Raw genomic sequence first — 21476 nt, 5'->3', positions numbered from 1 at the left:
TAAAAAAGGTAAAAAGGAGAGGGAGCCAGAGGCTTAACCCCCTAAAAAGCTGTTCCACCCTTTTTTTCTACACGTCTTAAAAATTGTATATATATAAGGCCTGTAACATTGTTTTTATATACATATAAATAGTGAAATGATTATACAGTCCAGCAAATTAACCTATTCATCATCTTCCATATTTACCCTTTTGTATGTGTGTGGTAAGAGCTAAAATCTCTCTTAGCAAATTTTCAACATACAATACAATATTAGTAAGTACAATATTAGTAACTGTAGTCCTCATGTTGTGCATTAGATCCCTAGACTTATTTATCCTACATAACTGCCAGCTTGTATCCTTTGATTTCTCCCATTTCCTTCCCCTCCCCACCACCCTTGTTAATGTACATGAGATTTCTGGATCCGAGAAGGATATGATTTTCATAAAAACAAAACAAAAACCAGTCCGATCATGTTGGAGCAGCTCGAGGAAATCATTTTTTTTCTCCTGGAATTGCTATAGAAAGGGAGGAAACATCCCACATGCTCTTATATTGCCTTTATTGACTGAATATAACCTTCCTTTGTCCAGAATTTTTTATCAGCCAGGATTATTGATCCCATGATTTGTGTATGAACTCCTTTAGGAATTAATATGTAGTAGTATTAACCTAAGTGTAGTTATTTTCCTGTTGTCTGAATAAATTGCTCTATAAAGAGGAAGTGCCTCCTTATATTAAAACAAAATAAAACAAAAACTTAGCAGTTCAGAAATATAGTCTGACAGAATAGAAAGTCTTAGACAGGGAGGCCTGGTCCTGTCTTTTTCCCCTACTAGATACTCTTTTCCCCCTACTAGATACTCTTTTCCTATATTGGATGAGTCTTTAATTTTCCTGGTCTGTTTTCCCATCCCTAAAAGAAAGGAAAAGCAGAAGATGGGTGCATTTTGGGGTCACCTGAGGATCTTGTTAAAATGCAGGTTCTAACTCAGAAGGTCTGGGGTGCGTCCCAGGTTCTGCATTGCCAATAAACTCCCAGGTGATGCTGGCCCATACTTTGAGTAGCAAGGCACTGGATCAAAGTGTGCCAGACTTGGCTGAGCATGAGACTTACCTCTATGTCTGTATTTTTACATTCACCTCTGAGGGAGTCAGTTCAGAGCATCTGCATTAGAATTTAACAATCTCTATTTTTGACACTGGTGACAAGATTCTATTGCAGCTGCCAGCATTTAGGAATTATTGCTCTAGATTAGTGCTTCTCCACCCTGGCTGCACATTAAAACTACCTGAAAGACTTAACAATAAGTATTGATGCCTGGGTTCTACTCAAGACCAATTAAAACAGAATCTTTGGCATTTGGGGACGGGGATGAATAACTCCTAGGTGGCCCCCTCCAATCTCCCTCAACTTTCACTCCACTCAACTGTGCAGTCAAGATTGAGAAACACTGGTAATAATCTCTAGGGGACCATTTGGAATTAAGGGTCTTTGATTCGTTTTTAACCTTCTAACCCTTGAAGAAAAAGTGCTTGTTTTATTTTATGTTCTCCTCTGATAGGATACTGCATAGTCTTGAATGAATATAATGAGTTGTTTTCAAGTCTTAGCCCCTTGTGGATGCATTCCAGAATCTGCTGACTTGTGAAATTACAGCTTCTGAAATCCTTGCCTCCTGGTGGGGATAATGCCCTGGTTCTTAGGCACCTCATTCAGGACCATATTGTGTGTCTGATCCCTTTGGAGATGGAATGTTTGTAAACATCTTTAAGGAATGAAACAATCTGGATCTCAAGGAAAGTTCAATTTTCCAGAATTCATGGCTCAAGGTCCTTTAAGAGCTGTGAGGACAAACCAGAACTGGTTTCCCTGTCAAGATTGGTTGATAAGAATGGGTGATGGTCACTGAAATTCTGGGCAATTTCTTTAAAGGCATCACTTTTCCAAAACTTCTAAACCCTCTTACTTTCTAGATTTGTAACTCATTTGTTTTCAAGGAAGTTATTCCTCTGTAATCAGATTTCTTTTCCTCAACATGTTTTAAAGCTAAAAGAAATTAAAATTTTCTGGGAAGCAATTTTAATTAATTTGCTATTCTGTTCTTAATATTTATTAATAATATATTTTTCATTTGTTGTAATAAGAATTTTCATGACTACAGGGAAATGCAACAGTTATATGAATATTTCATATACATAGAGAGTGTTTCAATGAATAGAGAAATTTCAAAAAGAAACCTCTGGATTGTTAATATTCAGCAATTTCTATCTAATTTAGCCTTAATTAAAAAATCTGTCTCCCTCTCTTCTTCTCATTTTTCTCAAGTATTTTATTCTGTAGTTTAGTTCTTAGTGATAAATACAATTTTATAGGTTTTGGTTTGCAGGTCAACATTTAACAGTTTATTTTTTCTAGGTTCTTCTCTTACATACATACATACATACATCCCCCCCGCCACAAACACACCAAGATACCTCTGCATATACAACTCAGTAACTTAATCTTGTACATAATAGTAATAGCTTATAAATGCTTTTTGCTTTAATAGTTTATAAAGACTGCTTACTTTATTTAGTCTCCGTAACTATCCAGAATGGTGGGTATTACTGTCACCAGTTTGTATATCAGGCAACCAGTAGCCTAATTGGAACTCACCAGCTTTTTTGCAGAAACTTACTTGGTGGTACGGAGAAGGGATCCAAGTTCTGGGAGAATATTTGAGTCAGGGCTCCTTGTGGTATATTGATTGTTAGAAATGTTTACCACTTGATAACATCTCATATAAAGTAGACTTAGCACCATGTCTGCTTTACTCAACTACGGTTTTATAAAACGTTCAGAAATGGTAAAAGCAGTTTTCATGTTTGTCCTCCATAAACTCAGAGTGCATATAGTTAAAATGCAATTATTAAGGCCTCGAGGTAAGGTCTGGTGAGCACAGTCCAATTACTTAACTCTTTGATGGTCTCAATTACTGGACTTAAACTTCAAGTATAAAGATGAATGGAGAGCATATTTCCTAGACTACATTTTTAAAAACTTTAAGTTGGTTTGAAAAACGCTCTTTGAGTTGTTAGGTCTGAGGTCTAATTGACTATGTGAGCAAATACTTTAGGGTATACCTGGCAAATATGTGAATTGTCCATATTCTATATTATTGGTTAAAATGTAGATATTTTGAAAAATGGGATTGAAGAGAAAAGCAAAGTCTTAATTACCTACTTTTGATTCTAACTTCTGTGTTCTTCTCCCTAAACAACTCTGCTTCCAGTCTAACAGGAAGAGTTAGTTCTCCCTGCAGTGAGTTGCTTTAGGACTTTTCCTTCCTTCCTAGTCTTCCTACTTTTCCATCTAAAGCAAAAAAAAGAGACAGAATTTCCTAGACTACTTAGGAAGAGTTTAAATTTGCAATTATTTCAGCCAAGAATTAGAATTTAAGGAACATGTGTTCTAGTTGCCACTTCTGACCTTGGGAATCGCGGCTTTGTGAGTCTGTGACTTATTGCCTGATGAGTGATCAGTGAAGGAAGAAATGAAGTTTTCCTGATTAGGGATAACATGTACAACATCAGGCCCAATACCTAGCATAGAGTAGGAGTCCACTAATGGTTGCTTTTGTTATTAATTTTGTTACTACACAGAGTTACTCAAGTGTAAGTGAAATAACATATTAACAGATGGGTAGTGATAGCTGGACCCTGCTGAGCTGGAGTCTGAACGTTCCCATTGTAGAGCTGTTGAAAATGGTATGATGGGGGCAGGGTAATGTTTTTAATGGCAGAGTTCATATGAAATAGTTAGAATGATCCAAATCCTAACAAATGTCTTGAAAACTAGTCTGTTTATAAGAGAGAGAGAGAGAGAGAGGTTTGTAAAGCCTTTGCAGAGTTGTTTAAAGCATGCTTTTAAAATTGTAAGGTACACCCCTTCATTGGGCTATGAAATTGATTTAACAGGTCTTGATTAATGCAGCCAAAATTGAAATAGGTTAGAAATTGTAGAGTACCTCTCATGTAGTGAGTAAATGTAGTCTGAGAAATTTTTTCAATTGTGTATTGTGTATATACATGTCTGCACATATGTATATACACTTGAGTCACTATGTAAATATTATTTCTTACTATGAGCTTTAATAAAAAAAGTTTGAAAAACACTATTTGTTAGATCAGCCGGCCCTTAATGTTTACAGTCTTTCTTTTTTAAGCCTGTGGGGTCCTTTTTCCTAGAATACTAGCAATTCATTCAACCAATAAATAATTACTATATTGCAATACTTTTCTTAAAAATTTTTTAAAAAATCAACAAGTAAAAATTGAATATGTTTATAGTATACAATAAGACTTTGCCTTCTCTTCAATACCATTTTTCAAAATATCTACATTTTAATCAATAATATAGAATATGGACAATTCAAGTATTTGCCAGGTATAGTATACCCTAAAGTATTTGCTCACATAGTCAATCAGACATAACAACTCAGAGTTTTTTTTTTTTTTTCAAACCAACTTGAAGTTTTTAAAAAGATAGTCTAGGAAACATAATGCTTTGATATATGTCTACATTGTGGAATGGCTAAGTCAAGCTATTTCATATATTCATTACCTCACTTGTCACTTTTATTTTTTGCAGTGAGAACACTTAAAATCTCCCTTGGAGATTTTCAAATATACAATATATTGCTATCAACTGTCATTAACCTGATATATAGTAGATCACTCAAACTTATTCCTTCTGTCTAACTGAAATTTTTGTCCCTTGACCAACATCTCCCCAATGTCCCCACCCTTCAGCCTTTGGTAGCCACCATTTTTCTCTGTTTCTATGAGTTTGACTTTTTTTACATTGCACATGTAAGTAAGATCATATGGTGTTTTTCTATGTCTGACTTATTTCGCTTAAAATAATGTCCTCCAGGTTCATCCATGTTGTCACAAATGACAATGCTCCTTTCTTTTTAAAGGCTGTATAATATTTCATTAGGCATATATACCACATTTTCGTTATTCATCTGTTGATTGGCACTTAGGTTGATTCCATATCTTAGCTACTGTAAATAGTGGAGCAATAACCATGAGCATGCAGATAGCTCTTTGACATGCTGATTTAATTTCCTTTGGATATTTACTGAGTCGTGGAATCGCTGAATCATATGGTGGTTCTATTTTTAATTTTTTGAGGAACCTCCATACTGTTTTCTATAATGGTTGTACTAATTTATATTCCTACCAGCAGTGTAGAAGAGTTCCCATTTCTTGGCATCTTGGTCAGCTGTTATCTTTTGTCTTTTTGATAATAGCCATTCCAGTAGGTATGAGGTAACATCTTATTGTGGTTTTAATCTGCATTTCCCTGATGATTAGTGATGTTAAGCTTTCTTTCATGTAACTGTTAGCTCTTTGCATTTCATCTTTTGAGGAATGTCTATTCATATCCTTTGCCCATGTTTTAATCTGGTTATTTGTTTTCTTACTATCAAGTTGAGTTTCTTATATATTTTGCATATTAACCCCTTATATGTTTGGTTTGTAGATATATTTTATTACTCCATGGGTTGTCTCTTCACTCTGTTGATTGTTTCCTTTGCTGTACAGCTTTTTAGTTTGATGTAATTTCATTTGGTAATTTCTGCTTTAGTTACCTGTGCTATTGAAGTCAGACCCAAAAAATCTTTGCTCAGACCAATGTCTTGTAGCTTTCCTTCTATGTTTTCTTCCAGCAGTTTTATAGTTTCAGGTTTGATGTTGAAGTCTTCAATCCATTTTGAGTTAATTTGTATATATGGTGTGAGATGAGCGTCTAATTTTATTCTTCTGATGTGGGATATCCAGTTTTCCCAACATCCTTGATTGAAGAGATTGCCCTTTCCTCATTGTATGTTTTTGGTATCTTTGCTGAAAATCAATGGTTTATAAATGTGTGGCTTGATTTCTGGGCTCTCTATTATGTTTTATTTGTCTTTGTGTCTATTTTTATGCCAGTACCGTGCTGCTTTTGTACTATAACTTTGTAGTAGATTTTGATATCTGGTAGTATAATGACTCTGGCTTTGTTCTTTTCGTTCAAAATTACTTTGGCTATTGGGGTCTTTTGTGGTTCCAGATGAACTTTAGGATTTTTTTTTTCTGTTTCTGTGAAACATGTCTTTGGGGTTTTGGTTGGAATTACATTGAATCTGTGGATTGCTTTGGGTAGTATGGACGTTTTAACAATATTAATTCTTCCAGTCCATGAACACAGGATATATTTCCTTTTATTTGTGTCTTCCTCAGTTTCTTTTATCAATGTTTTGCAATTTCCAGTGTATAGATCTTTCACCTTCTTGGTTAAATTTATTCCTAAGTACTGTTTTTTTTTTTGTTACTATTGTAAATGGTATTGTTTTCTTGATTGCTTATTTGGATAGCTTGTTGTTATAGAACTGTTTTTCATATGTTGATTTCATATCCTACAACTTTACTGAACTTGTTTATTAGTTCTAACAGTTTTTTGGTTGAGTCTTTAGTTTTTTTCTACATATAAGATCATATTGTCTGCAAACAGAGTCAATTTAACCTCTTTATTTCCTATTTGGAAGGCTTTATTTCCTTTCTCTTTCCAGTTGCTCTGGCTAGGATTTCAGCTAGAAATTGAACAGAAGTGGTAAGAACAGGATCCTTGTCTTGTTCCTGATTTTAGAGGAAAAACTTTCAACTTTTTGTCATTGAGTATGATGTTAGAGCTTGTTATGGCCTTTATTGTGTTGAGGTACATTACTTCTAAACCTAATATGTTGAGAGTTTTTAATCATGAAACAATGTTGAATTTTTCAAATGCCTTTTCTAAATCTATTGAATCAATATTATAGTTTTTGTCCTTCATTCTGCTAATGTGGTCTATCATATTTATTGATTTGCATATATTGAACAATCCTTGCATCTCAGGAATAAATACCACTTGATCATGGTGAATTATCCTTCTATGTGTTGTTGAATTTGGTTTGAAAATATTTTATTGAGGATTTTTGCATCTATGTTCTTCAGGGATATTGGCAGATAATTTTCTATTTTCGTAGCTTCCTTGTCTGGTATCAGGGTAATGCTGGCCTCCTAAAATGAGTTTGAAAGTTTTCTCTCCTTTTTAATTTTTTGGAAGAGTTTGAGAAAGATTGAATTAGTAAGCAGTGAAAGTATCAGGTTCTGGGCTTTTCTTTGATGGGAGAATTTTTGTTAGTGATTAATCTCCTTATTTGTTATTGGTCTATTCAGATTTTCTTTTTCTTCATGATTTAGTCTTGGTAGGCTCTATGTGTCTAGAAATTTATTTCTTCAAGATTAGACAGTTTGTTGGATTTTAATTGTTCATAATAGTTATGATCCTTTGTATTTCTGTGGTATCAGTTGTATTGTCTCCTCTTTGATTTCTGATTTTTTTGAGTCTTCTCTCTCTTTCCTTAGTATAGCTAAAGGTTTGTCAATTTTGCTTATCTTTTCAAAAAACCAACTTGTAGTTTCACTGACCTTTTAAAGTTGTTTTTCTAGTCTCTGTTTCATTTATTTCTGCTCAAATCTTTATTATTTCTTTCCTTCTACTAACTTTGGGCTTAGTTTGTTCTTCTTTTTCTAGTTCACTGAGCTATAATATTAGTTGATTATTTAGGGTCTTCTTTTCTCATGTAGGCACTTGTTGCTATAAACTTCCCTCTAAAAACGATTTTTATTGCTTCCCTTAAGTTTTGGTATGTTGTGGTTCTGTTTTCATTTGTCTCAAGATATATATATATATATTTTTTGAGATGGAGTCTCACTCTATTGCCCAGGCTGGAGTGCAGTGGCATGATCTCGGTTCACTGCAACTTCTACCTCCCGGGTTCAAGTGATTCTCCTGCCGCAGCCTCCTGAGTAGCTGCAACTACAGGCGTGTGCCACCATGCCCAGCTAATTTTTGTATTTTTTAGTAGAGACAGGGTTTTACCATATTGGGCAGGCTGGTCTTGAATGCCTGACCTCATGATTTGCCTGGCTCAGCCTCCCAAAGTGCTGGGATCACAGGCATGAGCAACCACGCCCAGCCTGTCTCAAGATATTTTTAAATTTCCCTTTCAAATTTCTTCCTTGACCCATTGGTTCCTTAGGAGTATATTGTTCAATTTCCACATATTTGTAAATTTTCTAAAATTCTTCATATTATTAATTTGTAGCTTTATAACTTTGTGGTCAGAAAAGATACTTTATATGATTTTAATTTTCTTAAATTTGTTAAGACCTACTTTGTGGCCTAAGAGTTGATCTATCCTGCAGAATATTCTGTGTTGAGAACTTCAACTTTCTGTACTTGAGAAGAATATGTATTTTACTGTCTTTGGGTGGAATGTTTATATATCTATATCTGTCAGGTCCATTTGGTTTAAAGTGTAGTTCAAGTCCAATGTCTCATTATTGATTTTCTGTCTGGATGATTATATTGAAATTCCTGTATGCAGACTAGGCATATAATTTATAATCCTGAGGAATATGTGATTTATATGAAAAGACAAAGTTAGCATATATGGAATATTTAGAAAGACATTATTTAATAAATTTTATAATACCAATTATATAAAAAGAGAACCCTGCAAAAATGTATTAGTTCATTGGCTTATTCATATAATCAACCATTAAATTAGCATTTACTATGTGTCAGGCACTGTGCTAGGCAATGAGAAATCAAATGTGAGCAAAAACTTACATGGGCTCTATCCCTGTAGAGCTTATAATCCAATAGGCAGATAAACATTAATTTTTTCTTTTTTTTTTTTTGAGATGTAGTCTTGCTCTGTTGCCCAGGCTGTAGTTCAGTGGCATGATCTTGGCTCACTGTAACCTCCACCTCCCATGTTCCAGCTATTCTCCTGCCTCAGTCTCCCGGGTAGCTGGGACTACAGGTGTGCATCATTATGCCCGGCTAATTTTATATTTTTAGGAGAGATGGGGTGTCACCATGTTGGCTAGGCTGGCCTCGATCTCCTGACCTCATGATCCACCTGCCTCTGCCTCCCAAAGTGCTGGGATTACAAGTGTGAGTCACCGTGCCTGGCCAGATATACATTAATTAAGTCATGACACAAATAGGTGTAAAACTGCACTTGTGAATGGCTGTGAAGGAGAGGTACATCATGTCAAAAAATTATATAACAGGGATATAACCTCATCAGCAGTCAGGGAAAGATTCCCTGAGGTCATGTCAATTGAGTTAAGATCTAAATAAATGAAGGTGACAAGGTGAGGAGGGAAAGGAATGGTATTTAGGCAGAGATGATGGCAAATAAAAAGTCCTTATGCTGGGAGAGAACTTGGCTTTTACAAGAATATAAGAAAAGTCAATGAGGCTATTGTAGGCGAGTATCGTGGGCAAGGGTCAGAGTGATGAGAACTAAGGCTAGGCAGACTTTGAAGTCATTGTGGGCCATGGAAAGGATTTGGGTCTTATGAGAGCCAAAAGAAGGATGTTAAAGGAGGGAGGAAACATGATACAATTTTAGTTTTTTGAAAAACAAACAAACAAACAAACAAACAAAAAACTCGTTTGGCTTCAGTATAAAAAATCCATTGAAGGACTCCCACAGAGGTTCTGAGTAAATCAGACAGTTACCTGAGTAGTCTAGGGGAGAGATGATAGAGGGCTGGAGTTGGGTGATGATCATGGAGATGAAGAGAACTAGAGAGATTTGAAAGAGTTTTAGGAGATAAAAGTAATGCGATTGGTAATTAATTAGATACGAGGGTAATGGGATAAATGTTGATTGATGGCTCCCAGATTACTGGCTGATAAAATTGTATGGATGGTGGCCCCATTCTCTAAGACAGGAAACAGTGGGAAAGTACCTAATTTGAAGGAGTAAAAAGTCATGATCATGTTATACTGAAGCACATTTAAGATAGCTAAGAAAAGAGGTCAAGTTTGGATATCAAGATCGAGAGTTTACAGAAGAGGTTTGGTTTGGAGATATACAATCATGAGTTACTGAATCTATGGACATAGATAAGCATATAAGAGTAAAGAAAGGAGAGGACTTAGGCACTCTAATGTCTACTTATTGGTAAAGAAGGCACTCTAATGTATACTTATTGGTAAAGAATGGTGAGCCTGCAAAAAAACTAGAGGAATGTTCAGAGAAACAAGTGAATGGTGTTCTGTGAAAGCCAAGCATTGAGAGACTTTTAAGAGGGGAGTGGTTACCAACGCTTCTGAATTGTTATGAAATGAGTGAAAAGCATCCTGTGGGCTTGGCGATAGGGAGAGGTTATTGGTGACTTGGCTGTCTTGGTGGAGTGGTAGGGAAGAAGCTAAATAGGAGTGAGTTGAGTGAACAGGAGCTGAGGAGATGGAGTCAGTGAGAATAGACAACTTCTGTGGAAAGTTTGTCCTGTGAATGGTTGGAGACAGATACGGTGGCAGCCAGAGGAGATGTAGGCTGAGTGGTATTCAGTGAATGTGGCATAGAAAATGTAGAGTTGAGATGATTCTTAAGTGTTTTGATGGGCAAAGAGATGTCAGAAAAGTATTTCAAGTGAATAGTGGGCAGCATGAATGAGCAGATTTTCGGAACATAATGAAGAGACTGACCTAACTGTAATAGTATAGACTTTAGGAACAATGGGAAACATGTTTGTATAGGTAGGGAAGGTGAGACTGGATTTCAGAGGGCTTTGTTAGCCTCGGAAAGGATTTGAGATTTGATTATATAAACAGTTGGGATTGTTGATCTGGATGAAGAATGATAGGATACAGGAAGGGTTTCAGGGAGACAATTTAGCATTCACCTAATCACAAGACTGAACATTGGAATGAGTTAAGGCAGGGATACCATGTAGCTGTATGGCCTGCCACAGTTATCTAGTCATGAAGTGGACAGCTTATGGATTAGAGAGGGTAAACTGGCTTGGGCTAAGGCGAGAAAGAAAACAATTTTTGATGGTCATATTAAAAAATTTATAGTTGATACTATAAATAAAAGAAAACATCATTTATTTATAGAGGAATTTATACTTTCTGAAGTACTTTTGCAGAAATTAGCTCATTTTGATTTCTAACTGCCCTAGGTACCACAGAAATGTAGTAATACCATCCTCATAACTAAGGTTAAGCTCAAGTACCATTGTTTTACTAAAACTTCTGATTCTCTGGTCAGACGGAGTTATCCATTGTCCTCTTTGTGTGTTTTAAAAAATTTTTATGCAGCAAAATGCCCAGATCTTAACTGCACAGTTCAATGAATTTTGACAATTGTATACACCTGTGTAACGTATACCTCTATCAAGATAGAGAACAATTACATTTGCCAGAAAGTTCTTTTTATCTTTTCGGTCACTTCCTCCACCATTCCCTTTAGAAATCATTGTTCTGGTCCCTATCATCATATAATATTAGTTTTCCCTATATTTAAGCTTCATATTAATGAAATCAAACAGTATACCTACTTTAGTGGCTGTTTTATAATGTTTTTGAGTCATATTGTTGCATGTGTCAGAAGTTTTTTGTTCCATTTTAGAGCTGAGTAGTACTCCTTGTGTAAATATGGCACAATTTCTAATCCATTCTCTTCTTAATAGACATTTGCATTGTTTCCAATTTTTGGCTACTGTGAATAAATCTGATGTGAACATTTTCCTCCAAGTCTTTTTGTAAACATATGTTTTCATTTCACTTGCATAAATACCTAGAAGTGAAATTTCTGGGTCATAGATACATATTTAACTTTACAAGAAGCTGTTTTCCAAAGTGATCATACCATTTTACATTCTTGCTAGCATTTTATAAGGAGCACTAGTTCTTGATTCTCATCAACAATGTTGTATTGCTAATCTTTAAAACTACTCTAGTAATTGAGCAGCAGTATATCGTTGTGCTTTCAGTTCATGTTTCCTGATGCATGATGATTGTAAGCATCTTGTTCTTGTGCTCATTGGCTGTTGTTTCTCTTTTCTGTGTGTGAAATGTCTGTTTAAGTTACTTGCTTATTTTGATACTTGGGTTGTTTGTTCTTTTGTAGGAATATTTTGTATTTTCTGGATAAGAGTTCTTTCTCAGATACCTGTATCAAAAGTATTTTCTCCCAGGCTGTAGGTTTCCATTTCATTTTCTTGAGAATGTCCTTGAATGAGTAGTTGACAGTAATTTTGATGATGCCTAATTTATCAACATTTTCTTTTATGGTGATTGCTATATGAGGCTTATATAAGAAATTTTTGTCTTCCTCATGATTGCAAAGATTTCCTTCTATGTTTTCTTCTAGAAGGTTTATAATTTTCCCTTTTATATTTACATCTATGACCCACTTCAAATTATTTTTGTGTATGAGGTAGGGGTCATGTTTCAATTTTTGCTCATATGGATATCTAGTTGTTTCAATAAAATTCATTGAAAAAGACTTTACCTATTCAGTTGGCGTGGCATCTTTGCAAAAAAGCTGTTGACGTTGTATGTGAGGGCCTGTTTCTGAACTCATTTTGTTTTATTGGTCTACTTGTCTGTCCTTACTCCATTTCCACACCATCTTAATTACTATAGTTTACTTAATTACTATAGTTTACTTAATTACTATAGTAGAACTTTGTTCTACTTTTTCATATTTTATTTTTAACTACTTTAATTTGCATTTTCACAAACTTTTATAATTTTTCAATTTCCTCAAAAAAGCCTGTTGTCATTTTCATTGTGATTGTATTGAATCTGTAGATCAATTTGCAGAAAATAGAACACTTTTTGATGTGGAACAAAAGACCAAGAAAGGTATTCCTACTGTAGCTTGTTTATGTTTATCTCTCTTGTGGTTTACTGAGTTGCTAGTTTTCATTCTATCTGGAAAAATTTTAGCTATCATATCGTCCAATAACATGTGTGCTCTCTTTTGTTTTTTTTTCAGACTCAACTACATATATTTTAGATTGCTTGATATTGTCCCACAGAACATGTCTTCAATCTTTTTCTCTTTTACTTCAGTTTGCAATAGCTTGTATTGATGTGTTTTCAAATTGTTCTTTCTTTTTTAGTGTCCAATCTGCTGTTAAACCAATCCAATAAATTTTTAATTTCAGAGATTGCATTATTTCTGTGTTTACCTATTGACTTCTTTTTCTACTGCCTACTTTTTTCCATAGTAATTGTAGGGTTTTCCATTTCTTGCCTGTCTAATAATTTTTGATTGTTTCTGGGACATTATATCAATACATTGTAGAGATTTGGGATTTCATTGTTTTCCTCTGAGGAGAATTACATTTTTTTAAAAATCAGGCAGTTAAATTACTGATGGATGACCTTGATCATGAAGAGACTTGATTTTAAGATTATTTTTCGTGTTGGTCTAATTTCTACATTTTTTATTTTAGTCCCAGGGCATATCCGTTCATCCTATGACTTGTTTCTTACTCCTAATGCATGGCCTTCTCTGTTTAGATGGAAGGCTTGAGGTGTTTTTCAAGCTTCTCTAGCTTGATGGGACTTGAACTCTGAAATTCATCTTCTACCTTCGGGGAGCTGGTGAAATTTCTATCCATCTCTTTAGCCCTTTACCATTGCTGTCTGCTGGATTCCTTATTGTCTCACCCTATGCCTGCCCAGTTTTGGCCACAAGAAGGATTTGAGGTATATTATGCGGAAGTTTATCACTCCATCAATTAAAGGATTTCCCCAACTCCAAGTTGCTCTGCCACCCCCAAATTGTGACCTTTGACTCCTTAGACTTGTAAGACACTTCTGCTTGAGCTCTTTCACACCATGAACTTCCCAAACTGGCAAGTGCTCTCAGCGGAATAGACAGTTAAATGACTATCTCAGCTAATAAAGCCTCTCTTTTTCAAGGGTTTATCTTTTCCAGTTTGTGCCTACTTTCCGTTGCTTCCTAGTGGCTTCAAACAGATTTTGCTTTTCATATTTTGTCCCATGCTTCTTTAGTATCTATTCTGGCAGTTGTATTTTGTTGTTACATATTTGTTTTCAACATACACACTTATTGAGAGCAAAGGGTGTGTTTTACTAATCTTTATTTTATCCCACTGTTTGACCCAGAGCAGTTTTTTATACAGCAACTACTTAATAAATGTTAAATTGCATTATTATTTTTATGAAGACCAATTATGAATGAGGATTTAAAGTCTTCTAAAAAATTTGTTATATTTTTAGTATACTACCCTGAGTATGAGTTCAAAGGAAATTTTCTTAGGTGAAATTTTGAAGCATATTATTGCTTTAAAAATTTTTACTTTTAAATTATTTATATTAAAAATGTGTTCACTTATATATTTTAATATTATTTTAATTTTAATTCATTTTAATGTTGACATATAACATGTGGTTTACAAAACTGCTAAAGTTACTGCCTAATATGATTGGATTTTCAATCATTTTATATTAATTTATACAAAAGCAAACCTACTTTTCTGTGTAAAATAGAACAAAAATATCTCTTTTATTTGGAATACTGATAGTTTCTAAATTATCTGTATTATGTGGTTGAAAATATCTTTGAATAATTTTAATTTAAAGGAAGACTTTTAAATTCTATTTTAAATTAGACTTTTCAAGATTAGTCTAATGGACAAAAAAATTGTTCCATCATGTCAGCAATATATTAATATAATTTTTGCAGGGGGTCATCCAATTTTCTTTTATTATCAACTTCAATATTCTCAATTTGTAGGGAAGTGACCATAGCCCTAATCTTAATAAATTAACCAATTTTTAGGTGTAATTTATAGTCATTAACATTATTTATTACTAACTACACTTTGATTTCATAGCTTAGGGTATACTTGAATGGAAAGAATTATTATAAACTGGTTTCGTTTAAATGGAATTTTTAGTTTGTATATAAATTCGATATTTATTGCAGGTCTCATGATCATGCAAACCTGGTTATGTCAGTTTCAAGAACAGGTTATATTATTTGTACAATTACAAACCATAGTTGTATGTGTCCATCTTTATAAGTTTGCCTTTTTGATTACTTGAAATAAGTGCATTGTTGAATTAAGCTAAATAACCTCCTTTTTTCTCCTTTCTTCTTCAGAATCAAGTTTCTTACTGGGAAATGCCCAGATTGTGGATTGGCCTGTAGTTTATAGTAATGACGGTTTTTGTAAACTCTCTGGATATCATCGAGCTGACGTCATGCAGAAAAGCAGCACTTGCAGGTAGGTAACAGAATAGCTAAGTAATCTTTTCTGAAATTTAACAAAAATCTGAATGTAATTAAAAGGCTTAAGCTTACTTGGACTCCCATATACAAACCATAGAGTTAAAAATTATGTTAGAATATTAGGGAGACTAAATTATCAATGGAAACACATAGCTTAAGAGCCACTGGTGAGAACTTTTGCCAAAAGAAAGATTTGTATATATCTGTGAGTTAATCAATTCATTCAATAAATATTTTTTGATGACCTACCATGAGCCAGGAATAGTCTAGATGCTGAGTAATCAGAGGAACGTCTTGTATCAGGGAACAACTTGTGGCATGTGATCTACAGCACCTCTGGAACAACTAAATTGTCTTGAATAAAACAGAGTAAACACCACCTGGCCAAGTTAAACATGGTCCATGAGAATGTAAAGAACATAAAATAAAGCTCTTATATCCTGTGTAAGCCACATGTACTTGGTAATGGTACATTGTTTGACTCATGTACAACAGAATCTGACATTTATATTATTATAATGGTTCTTTAAACAAATATGCCATTTCTGTGAGCTTAAAGAGAATATTAAGAAAAAAGGGGATCAGAAAAAAGAAAAGGAAACTATATATAAGGAACTAATTTAGAACCTAAAACTTTTCACAATATTTCAGTAAGGCCAGATGGGATGTTTTTTCCGTGAGTTAATTTTTCTTTAAAGCTCTCATTTAACTAAGCACTGAACCAAGTTATTTTAGAACTACAAGGAATCTGATTTTTTTTTTTTCTAGGCCAAATCCTCTGTTTTTCAGATGAGAAAACTGAGGTAGAGCTATGTTAAGGGACTTGCCCAGAGAAATAGTGATTTGTTTTTTCTACCCATTGATGCTGAGAAGCATTATATATATACATATATATATGTATATATAAAATGGTTAAATGCATATACAGTTGACCCTGGAACAACACTGGTTTGAACAGTGTGGGTCACTTATAGGTTAATTTTTTCAACCAAATGTGATCAGAAATATAGTATTAGAGAAATACAGATCAAAAATATGATATTCAAGGGGATATGAAACCCTTGGGTACAGAGGGCTGACTTTTTATATATGTGGGTTCCACAGGGCGTTATAACTGCAGGACTTGAGTGTGCACGGATTTTGATATACGCAGGGATCCTGGAACCAATCCCCTGTGTATGACTCTCTCCCTCTCTATGTATATAACTGTTTATATATCTGTGAATTAATCAATTCATTCAATAAATATTTTTTGATCACCTACCATCTACCATGAGCCAAGAATAATCTAGGTACTGAGTAATCAGAGGAACATGTATATCTGTATATATACGTACATACAGAGAGAGAAAGGCAGAGAGAGAGAGTCATCCATGTTATACAGAAGGGATTGGTTGATAACTCTCTCTTTCCCTCTCTAGATATCCTTCATCATCATGAAATGTAGATATTTTATATTATACCATTGAGTTTAAACCTGACTGCACATAGCAATCACTTAAATAGGTTTTGCAAAACAGATTCCTACCCCGCTTAAACCTACTGAATTAGAATCAGTAGGTGATTCTGAAGTGGGTGGGTCAAGCAGGGAGTCAGTATTTTTAACCAACAGCTTAGATGATTCTGGTGCCTATCCAGGCTTGAGAAATAATCTGCTCAAACATTCTCTTCCTTAATCTATGCTCCTCTAGCCATCCTCATTTTTGCCTCTACTGAAGGCATTCTCATATTCATTCTTCATTCCTAGGTATGGAAATTGGTAAATGGGAGTGATGAAAATCTGTGGCTTCTGGTTGAGAGGGTCCCTTTGCTAGCACTGATATCGTTGGGCCATATTAAGCATTGCTCCTCTCCTATCCCCCAGAAGGCAGTTTAAGTTAGAAAAAGCTGAGTTTCATGGTAGACGTTATCCTGTGGAACAGGTCCATAGAGAGTTCCAGGCAACACAGATATACTCACACTCGCATTTCTTATTCTTGGACTGCTGACATCCCGTCTTCATGCCAGGTTTATCTCAGATCTCATCTACCTGAAGGTATTTATGCTTCCCTAAGCAAGACAGGTTTTTCCCTTCTCTGACTCCTCATAGTTTCTTGTGTATATTTCTGTTGGCATCATCATTTGGCCTTAAACTAACTTGCCTTATCCCTTGGGTTTTTATTCTTATTGCTTTATTGCTTTTGTTGCCATTTTTGAGAAGTATTACTCTTCATATCTGGATCTATTTTCAGTCCTGCTCTCATCCCTTCTTGTGTCCCATGTATTTGCCCTATCCCTGGCCTATTTTCTTTGGCAAGTACAATTTTTCCTATAAAGGATTCACTAAGAAAATAAGTGCTGGTGTGTTATATTAGCTCTTTGCTCCTATGAAAGAGCTGCTTTTCTTCTAACACAAGTACCAGATTGTAAGTGCCTTAAAAGTAGGGTCTCCATCTTGCTCACTTTTGTATGCACAACAGGACACAAGACAGTGTCTTATGTCAGTATTTATTGAATTGGATTGGCTTGTTTTGCAATAAACCGTAACCTAGGTCTCACATGCTCTGGATAGCATACTGTTATTTCTTGTATTTCATCCTGTGTTATGACATTTGAGGTGGGAGAGTTTTGGATTATACCATGCTTTTTAACTGTATAAAAAAGTGTTTGAGTCTTTCCCCAAATTGTCTTTACTTATCAGAGACAGTGTTTTCAAATGATCATGTTCTTAATGTAAACAATTATTACTTACTTGCATAAAATGCCAGATGTGTTTTGTTAACCTAAAAATTGCAACCAGTTTAATGCCCTCACAGAACAATGAAGACTAGCATCTGATATATGAACAAATATCTGACCTTTATCAGTTTTTCTTGGAAGCATGATTTATTTTAATGTGTTCTTCTTTTAAACTTCCTTATTCTCTTTTAAAATTAAACTATATCCATTTTATGTTTGCTGTAGCATTATTTAGAAGACTGAAGACCTGGAAGGAATCAAAATATCCAGTAGTAGAAGTTTAGCTACATCATATGTTGTATATACTGGAAGGATAATGACACTGGAAAAAACTAACAACATATTATCAAGTAAAAAAAAGCCTAAAATGAAATAAAACAACAAACCCAAAAGCACCCCCCAAGCAGTTTATAAAACAGTGTTTGCATCATGACTCAAATTCTTTTACATATCGCTTTTTTCCCATTTCTTGAATAAATCCAGAAAAGCCTTTAAGTGTGAGACACAAAATAACAGAGAGAGAAAAAAAGAAAATGAGGTGCACATTTAGAAACACGGGGTTGATGGCTAAAAGTTATTATAGTGTGTGGAATTACTGACTTATAAGTGAATATGGAGATAAGTATTTGACACTGAGAATATCCTTGTAAATAATTTAAAAATTTTGCTTATCATTATAAGTTTTTAGACAGACATAAGAGAATAAGAAGCTACAAAGCAGTGAGCTTCATTTTATATGGGAAAATACAAGCTTTGACACTATATATCTCAGAAAAAAGAATCATTTTTGTATCCAACTTGCATTAGATGAATTAAAGTCTATAGGGTTAAAGTGGCAACTAGGTAAATGATTACATGCCACAGTTTTGAATGTTCAAAAGTGAATTGTTTTATGGTAAAATAAAAACACATTAATTTGTGTTTTTATAATATCAAGAGGCTAATATTTCTTTCTTCTGTTTTCTTATCTTTTTTCTTCTTTGTCCTTCTCAACCCCTCCCACATTGGACCAGACACACAGAATCAAATTAAACATACTCCTCAGTTTGTCACAATATTGTCATTTTGCTCTCTCTAAGCAAGGTCTCTCTTTATTTTATTTTATTTTTTTCCTTTTATTTCTTTTCCCTTTCATCCCATCCCCCTTGTTCCTCTTATGGTTATTAATTCTAAAGTGTGTTTATTGTATGTCTTTCTAATCTGTCTTCTGCTTGTTAATTAAATATGTGTATTCTTGAAATGATATTGCTTTGCATATGTTGGTTGTTAAGATCTATTTAATTCCTACCACACTGTAATATTTATGGTTTCTTACTCTTTTCATTCACCATTATGTTTTTAGACTTCTTTGTGTCACCGTATGATGATCTATTCATCATGTCTGATTGTTGTCTAATGTTGTAGTGTCTTCACAGCCTTCGTTCTATTTATACATTCTAGTAGTCCTGGAATCTAACTTTGACACTTTGCTACCTCAAACAACTTGGAAATAAGAATCGTCCTACACATCTTCTTGTGGCCCTGTGTGAGACGTTTTCTGTCTCTATCCCCAGAAATGGGATTGCTGGATAATAGAATATATGCAGAGTTTGTAAATTAACTGCTATAAGACTGTTACAGAGTAGCCTTCTGTTTCCATTCTCAGCAGCCATTAGTGAGGATTCTGGTTTTCCTACATTTTTGCTATGTCATAATGGTACTGAAATTCCTATCTGAAAATATCTGATGTGTGCTAGGTATTGTCTCATTTTTGTTTTAGGTAAAATTATGACACTATGACACTTTCGGATCCCTAGGAATTTCAAATGTTGTCCATTTTACTGTGGACACTGCATTTTCCACGCCTTTGCACTGTTTTGCTGTTTATTGGAGGACATGAAAAGTATCGCATGTTTAAAAGAGGTTATAGACTTTGGGAGAATGACATTTAAAAGCATATGATCTTATCTCATGACCTGTAGAAGCTCTGACATTTGGGATATACTGTCATAGATTAGGTAGGAACCACTTTAGCATTTTACTTCTAATTAACCTGAAACTTTTAAGAGCCTATTCTGCTGTCATTTTTTGTTTTTGTTTTGGATAGAGGGGTGAGAAGAACAATCAGGTAGTTTAGGTAGGGTGGATTGAGGGGTAGATAGATGCTCTCAGATACATTTTTTTGAAAGACCATTTACAATCCCTTATCCAACCCCATCAAGTTAGACAATGAGTCAGAGCTATTAAGAAACAGTTTATTGGGCAGATTTCACAGCAGTTTTATGAACACAGGATTATCTCAGCAGCTACCAAGAGCATGTGACACATGATGGATGCCAGTCAGTCCGGCTCCATTTGGCTGAGGGCTGTGCTTCTCATGGTGAGACTGATGAAAAGTGTTGAAGGGCAGAGGTGTCTTGGTGATGTCAGACTCCGAAGATTACAGGTATACAGTGCTATCCCTGTTTTTCCTTAATTACATGTCATGGATCAACCATTTATTTACTCCAGTGAAATCCTTTGAAGACCATGTAAATCAATGGGTTGTGAAACCTTTTGGTTATGATCCTCTGTATAAAGGAATGTCTTTGATTTATTCCAAAATTACCTCTTTCAGATTTTGAAAACTGTATTTCTTTTTTTTTTTTTTGAGACAGACTTTCTCTCTTTTTGCCCAGGCTGGACTACAAAGGCATGATCTTGGCTCACTGCAACCTCTGCCTCCTGGGTTCAAGTGATTCTTTTGCCTCAGCCTCCCAAGTCGATGGGGTTACATGCACCCGCCACCATGCCTAGCTAATTTTGTATTTTTAGTGTAGATGGGGTTTCAGCTGGCCAGGCTGGTCTCGAACTCCTGACTTAAGGTGATCTGCCCGCCTCAGCCTCTCAAAGTGCTGGGATTACAGGCGTGAGCCACTGTGCCGGGCCGAAAACTGTATTCTTGTTTTTAATTTTTCCTCCTTAACTTCCCCTCTCTCAGGCTTTATCTTTTTTGATCCTTCGACTGTAGATCTCAGTCCACCTCCCATTAACCTTTATGATTCTATGGTTGTGGCCACTTCTGAGCTGGAGACCACATTTACCAACTGCGTTAAGTCTATCTGTGTTGCTTTGTTTTGACGAAGGATTTGCTAATCTATGAACTACAGCCTGCAGATAATATTACCCTGTATTATGGTGACTGAATGTTTGTTGCATTTTAGTCTAGACACACCGTTGCACATTTAGCAGAGTAAGAGAGGTTGGTGGAACTCATGAATAGGTTATGTTTTCTTCAGAGTTGTAAGATTCTTTTCTCCTTTGGAAGTCTGTCAATCGTTATAGCCATTCTTACGCTAGGTACTATAATGAGGCTTGTTCGTGAGATTTTGAGAGCAGAGCAAGGGATCCAAGAATAAATAAATCCTGCTACAAGCCCAAACCACCTGTTCCTCAAAGTTTTCTAGGTCAGACACACATGAACGATAACTGCCAGATGCCTAGGCGAGCTGGGTATGGCCTAGACCAGGCCTGAAGACAACTTATCCCTTATTCCCAAGATGAAACCAGTCAGTTGTGTGACAAGAAAAGTGGCCAGATTATACAGGAGCAGGTTCTGAGTGAGCGTTTGCTTCAACCTCATGGGCTTGTGAAGAAAGAAGAT

General features: G+C 35.0%; 1 protein-coding gene across 3 annotated transcripts in view; it reads left to right on the top strand.

Moving 5' to 3' along the window:
• The window catches only part of KCNH5 (potassium voltage-gated channel subfamily H member 5), a 345995-nt gene that overhangs the window by 13497 nt on the left and 311022 nt on the right, over nt 1–21476 (top strand). For all 3 annotated transcript variants that reach the window (NM_172375.3, NM_139318.5, XM_047431275.1), the window contains exon 2: nt 15008–15131. In NM_172375.3, the coding sequence (NP_758963.1) occupies nt 15008–15131 (124 nt within the window). The remainder of the gene's footprint in view (nt 1–15007; nt 15132–21476) is intronic.

Source organism: Homo sapiens, chromosome 14 (genome assembly GCF_000001405.40).
Source record: "Homo sapiens chromosome 14, GRCh38.p14 Primary Assembly".
Classification (NCBI taxonomy): domain Eukaryota; kingdom Metazoa; phylum Chordata; class Mammalia; order Primates; family Hominidae; genus Homo; species Homo sapiens.
Note: the sequence above shows the minus strand (reverse complement) of the source record. Positions and strands in the feature narration are given on the sequence as shown.